Below are 6360 nucleotides of genomic sequence, written 5' to 3' on the forward strand. Positions count from 1 at the left end.
AAACCCTTTCTCCTGATAAGATGTTATCAATGACAATGCGCGCCCGAAACTTCGTTAGCAATTTTAATTTCGCCCCGGTCCTGTGGTCCTGTGATCTTGCCCTGCCTCCATTTGCCTTGTGATATTTTATTACCTTGTGAAGCATGTGATCTCTGTGACCCACACCCTATTCGTACACTCCCTCACCTTTTGAAAATCACTAATAAAAACTTGTTGGTTTTGCGGCTTGGGGGGCATCACGGAACCTGCCGACGTGTGATGTCTCCCCTGGACATCCAGCTTTAAAATTTCTCTCTTTTGTACTCTTTCCCTTTATTTCTCAGACTGGCTGACACTCAGGGAAAATAGAAAAGAACCTACATGAAATATCAGGGGTGAATTTCCCCCGATATCACACTGGCTCTTCTCTCACCTGTCTACCTGCTTAACTTAATAGGAGAGGCAATGCATGGTGCTCATGAACAAGGCAAGCATTAAAGTCAGACCAGACTAACATTTGACTCAGTCCTAATATTCAGGTGAGCTTGGGCAAATCGCTCATTAACCCCAAGTCTTCATCATTTTGTGCATATAATGGGGATAACTGTGGCACCCACCTGTTTTTGTGAGAATCAATGAAATATTATGCTTGATGTTATTGTGATCATGATACTATCTGACAAGGGCAGTGATGCATGATAACATCAAAAAATTAGAAACTGTAATGAGGTCTCTTGGGCAAAATTCCATACAAGCAAATTACTGTCTCTACAAAGCATTTCTGCCACACTTAATTCACCATTCCCTGAACAAAATGTGCCATCTTCATTGTTCAGGTCTGTATAGTGCTGGTTTCCCTGCCTGGGCAGCTCACTCCATCCCATCCCAGCCCAATCCCCATCCCTCCACCTCCCCCTTCCCTCCCCACTCTCATACAACTCTTCCTTATCTTACAGGACTTGGCTTCAATGTCACCTTAACTGGAAGCTTCTCTCCCTCTCCAGAAGAGCTTCCGATTGCACTTGATGCATGCACTATTATTTGATCATTTTTGAGTTACAGTCCAAGTCTTTTTGTACTTGAATAACATGTTGCCCAGTCAGTTTCTCTTCCTGGATTCAGAAGTCTTTCATGGTAGGTCCAGCTAGAAGTGACAAAAAGACATTTAAAAAAAAAAAAAGAGGGATGACACAGACATCAGCACTTAAAAGTTTTAAACGATATGTGAAAAACAAAATTTAAGGGCTTCTAGGAGAAATGTAGGAGGGAAGGTGTTACTGGGAAATATGATAGAAGGTTAATTTTTATTTTATTTTATTTTTAGAGAAAGGGTCTTGCTCTATCACCTAGGCTGGACTGCAGTGGTGCAATCACAGTTAACTGCAGCCTCAACCTCCAGGGCTTGAGCAATATTCCCATCTAATTTTTATTTTGTTTAAGAAATGCAGTCTTGCTCTTAGCAAAGCTAAAGTGCAATGGTGTGATCATAGCTTACTGCAGCCTCAACCTTCTAGACTCAAGTGATCCTCCAGTCTTAGCCTCCCCAGTAGCTCGGACTACAGGTGTGCACTGCAACGTGTAGCTCATTTTTTTTTTTTAATTTTTAGTAGAGACAAAGTGTCACTATGTTGACCAGGTTGGTGGTGATCTCCTACACTCAGGCAGTTCTCTCACCTCAGCCTTCCAAAATGCTGGGATTACAGGTGTGAGCTGCCACACCTGGCTGAGGGGGTTAATTTTTAATTATATAAAGAGCTCAAAGCAAATATTAGAAGAAGCCTAAATGCCTCCAGCAGTTGACTGGTACTGGTAAATTGTGATACATCCATATAATAAAATATTATGCAACCATGAAAAGGATTAAGATAGATCAATAGGTATTGGCACAAATGTCCACGAAATATGAAAATATGAAGTGATGTTCAATCACCATGTACGTATCTTGAAGGATATGGCCCATTTTCTCAACTGCAATTATTTCCTGAGATAAGATTATGGGTCTAAAGAGTGAAGGACATTTTTCACTTATTTAAAAGTATTTATCATTTTTATAATTTAATAAAAGATTAAACAGATCATTGAATTAGTAAAAGACAAAGTAACTCTATAAATAAATGGAAAAGACACAGATACCCCAGGCATGGTGGCTCATGCTTATAATACCAGTACTTTGGGAGGGGGTGGTGGGGGGATTGCTTGAGGCTAGGAGTTCCAGACCAGCCTAAGAAACAAAGCAAGACCTCCTCTCTAGTAAAAATAAAAAAATAAAAATAATTGGCCAGGCATAGTGGCATGTGCCTATAGTCCCAACTACTGAGGTGGAAGGATCACCTGAGCCTAGGAGGTCAAGGCTGCAGTGAGTTGAGACTGTGCCACTACACTGAAGCCTAGGAGACAGAGCGAGACTTCATCTCAAAAAAAAAAAAAAAGGACAATAAAGAAATAAAGCTAATAAGCTAACATAAGGGAAGATAAAATATGTGACAAATAGGCTGGGCACATGGCTCACAGCTGTAATCAAGCACTTTGGGAGGCCAAGGCGGGTAGATCACGAGATCAGGAGTTCGAGACCAGCCTGATCAACATGGTGAAACCACGTTTCTACTAAAAATACAAAAATTAATCAGGCATGGTGGCATATTCCTGTAATCCCAGCTACTCAGGAGGCTGAGGCAGGAGAATCGCTTGAACCTGGGAGGCACAGGTTGCAGTGAGCCGAGATCACACCACTGCACTCCAGCCTGGTCGACAGAGCGAGACTGTGTCTCAAAAAAGAAAAAAGAATGGGTGACAAAGTAATAATAGGAGGTCTTTCATTTATCACACAGAAAATAACTTGTTAAATTATAATACCTGTGTGGGCGAAGGTGCAGTGAAATGGCCATTTTCTTGTAGTATTAGTGGTGTTTAAAATGTATATAAGCCTTCCAGCATAAAGCTTGGAAATTTTTTTTAAATCCTACAGACAGTGACTCATTATACTGCCTCCTCCAACTCCTGGCCTCAAGCAATCCTCCCACCTCAGCCTCCCAAAGTGCTGGAATTGCAGGCTGACAGCCACCATGCCTGAAAGCTTTGCAATTTACATTGAGGGTAATAAGAATGCTCATGCCCTGTGACTCACAGTAATCTCACTTCTGGAAATTTCACCTTTGGATATAATTCAACCTAAACAAAAGGTCATATGCACAAACACAGTGAAAATCTGGGAGTAATTTTTTTCTCTTTTTTTTAAAAAATATGGAATGCTTCACAAATTTGCATGTCATTCTTTCACAGAGGCCGTGCCAATCTCTCTATTGTTCCAACTTAAGTATGTGTGCTACTGAGGCAAGCATGAGTAATTTAAGATAGGGTGGTTAAGTGAAATAAGGAAGAATTATGGAGAATTTAAAAATCTATGCTATTTATAGGCACCTAGTAACAGCTCAGTAAATATTAGCTGCTACTATTATTATTTTTATGGTAATTTCACTCAATTAAAAACTGTCGTTAAAAATTACCATTGTCATGGAACATAATGTCTCCTACTGTATAATTGTAGAAACAGATACAATTTGTCCCTTGGTATATGGGGGGATTAGTTCCAGCTCTCCCATTTCTGTGTATACCAAAATCCACGCATACTCAAGTTTTCGAAGTCAGTCCTGTGGAATCCACATATAACACAAATGGGAAAATTAGTGAGGTGTGGTGACAAGCACCTGTAGTCCCAGCTACTTGTGAGGCTGAGGCAGGAGGATTGCTTGAGCCCAGGAGGTTGAGGCTGCAGTGAGCCATAATTGCACCACTGCACTCCAGTCTGGGCAACAGAGTGAGACAGAAGGTTGACTTTTTAATAGAATTTTTCTGTTCACTTGAAGATATGGTCAGGATTGTGGCATATGAAAATTCTTCATAAAATAACTATCTAATCCAATTAATGCTGGAATTGGGAACAGCAGAAGTGTCATCTCAGAGCTACTCGCAATGAAAGGTGATGTCTGGGGCTCAGGTGTGTTGAGGTCCCCATGCCTGGACTATGGGTGCTGAGTGGGATTTACTTGTCCATCCATTTTCTATATTCCAGCACTGGGAAACTAGGGACAGTACTTGTTCTCAAGGGAATCTTCAGCTTAGGTGGCTCTGTAAAAGAGAAATTACATCATTGAAAAATCGTCGCAGGTCAGGTGAGGTGGCTCATACCTATAATCCCAGCCCACTGGGAGACTAAGGCAGGAGGATTCCGTGAGGCCAGGAGTTCAAGACCAGCCTGAGCAACACAGTGAAACCTCATCTCTACAAAAAATTAGAAAATGAACTGGGTGTGGTAAAACATTCGTATAGTCCCAGCTACTCTGGAGGCTGAAATAGGAGGATCGCTTGAGCCCAGGAAGTGGAAGCTGCAGTGAGCTCTGATCTCACCACTGCACTCTAGCCTTGGTGACAGAGTGAGACCCTGTCTCAAGACACACACAAACACACACACACACACACACACCCAATCTCACTCTGTCCAGCCTTGACTAATCAAAAGGGCCTTCTGGTTACAGAAGAGGTATGCTCTTTTGTAGGACAGGGAGAGACCAGCAAGCTTGTTCACAGACTTTTCCTCATCCTCTGCTTAGTTTTCCAAGAACCCTCACAGTGGAAATGGAGTCTCTGGGAAAATGACCTAAATCTTTGGGTTACCAGGGGAGAAATATGCCTCCTTTGTCAATTAATAAATGGAACATCTGCCTTAAAATCCAGGGAGTTCTGCTAGAATGAATCACTCCCTAAGACCCTGACCAATGCATGGAACATGAAAAACTGAAGTTTAACTGGGCGCGGTGGATCACGCCTGTAATCCCAGCACTTTGGGAGGCTGAGGCGGGCGGATCACCTGAGGTCAAAAGTTCTAGATCAGCCTGGCCAACATGGTGAAACCCCGTCTCTACTAAAAATACAAAAATTAGTTGGGCATGGTGGTGGACACCTGTAATCCCAGCTACTTGGGAGGCTGAGGCAGGAAAATTGCTTGAACCCGGAAGGCGGAGGTTGCAGTTACTTCTAGAAGAATTTCCATTAGCCCTTTGAAATCCTTCAACATTCATGAAGGCCAAAGAGTTTTCACCTAATTTAATCTGATGGGTATGTGACCAGAGTCTTTCTAGGGAATAGAGACTCCCAAACAGTTCGACTGGGAAGTGAGGAGAGAATTTATTACTCAAAACCAAAGGGAAATGAAAAGAGGCCAACATAGAATGTCATTATTCTTTCTTGGCGGGGAATGGATTCCAGAGTCATTCTGTGACCTTTACATGACCTCCTTATTAGCATCTAAAAGCTTCCAGTGTAGGATGCAGCCAGCTAGGTTCTCTTCTAATGTAATAAAATTTGCTTCGGCAAATCTTATGCAGAGCCATCTCCAGGCTCCAGAAACAATAGGCTATAAATTACTGGATCTCCCATTTGATACAACGAAGTATGAGCATGGTCCTGAATGACTCCTCTACATACTACTCTGGGTGGCTTGAAGTGAATTTGATACAAGAACTGGAGCGAGGGCAAAGCAGAGCTAGATCTAGGATTAATGTGCTTGGGCCCAGCTCCTCACTACTCACCTATGAGTCTAGTTCCAGAACCCAAGTAGAGGATGGGGAAACAAGGCTCCTGACTTTTTTTCCCTAATGTCTGCATCTCTTTCACATTTCTTATCTCCTTGCAAAGAAACTAAACAGGCTCAACTGAAATAACTAAATGATTAAACCCTATACAGAGAATCTCCAAAGACTGACAAAATATCATTCAAGACTGTTACACAGACAACCTTGAGGATGACTTGATGTACCAGTGATCTACAATATTTGGGATCATTCCAAATTCCCATCAAGGATCTGCCTATATCAACAAAGGAGCCAAGGACCAACCATTCAAATGGGCCCTGCTGCCAAGCCTTTTTTTTTTTTTTAACAATGCCATCTCTTCATATTGTTCCATTTAACAAAACTGCAGCCCTTCATCTATCCTTAAGTCCCTTGGCCAATGGTACAGAGCCAGAGTATGCTACTCCCTAGCAGGAAATCAACAGGATGACCTACTAAACACCATTCAGAAGATGCTAAGACCCATGAATTGCAACAGGAAAGAAAAGACAGAGAATTAGTCAGACAGGTACATGCTGTGCCAAAAATGCACTACAGCCCCCACCCAATTCTGCCTAATCCTAGCTGGGCTGACACCAACCTGATGAGACAGGCCTATAAGATCTCAAACTAAAACAGAAACTCCTGAACTGGGTTCTTTCGAGCCCAGGAAGCAGCAGTAAATCATTAAAGAACAGATAAGTTCTTAAGGTGAGGGAGAGTTTCAGATAAATGGAATGCTGGTAGAACACAGGGCCCAAAGGAGCAAAAGTTA

The 6360-nt window shown here is 42.1% G+C and overlaps 1 non-coding gene across 1 annotated transcript; it reads right to left on the minus strand.

Moving 5' to 3' along the window:
• Nucleotides 1-3213: 3213 nt before the first annotated feature.
• Nucleotides 3214-3317, minus strand: LOC124904108 (U6 spliceosomal RNA). Its single transcript, XR_007065983.1, has one exon. It is a non-coding gene; the product is annotated as a U6 spliceosomal RNA (small nuclear RNA).
• Between the last annotated feature and the right edge of the window lie 3043 nt (nt 3318-6360).

The sequence above is a fragment of the Homo sapiens genome, chromosome 17 (assembly GCF_000001405.40).
Source record: "Homo sapiens chromosome 17, GRCh38.p14 Primary Assembly".
Classification (NCBI taxonomy): Eukaryota; Metazoa; Chordata; class Mammalia; order Primates; family Hominidae; genus Homo; species Homo sapiens.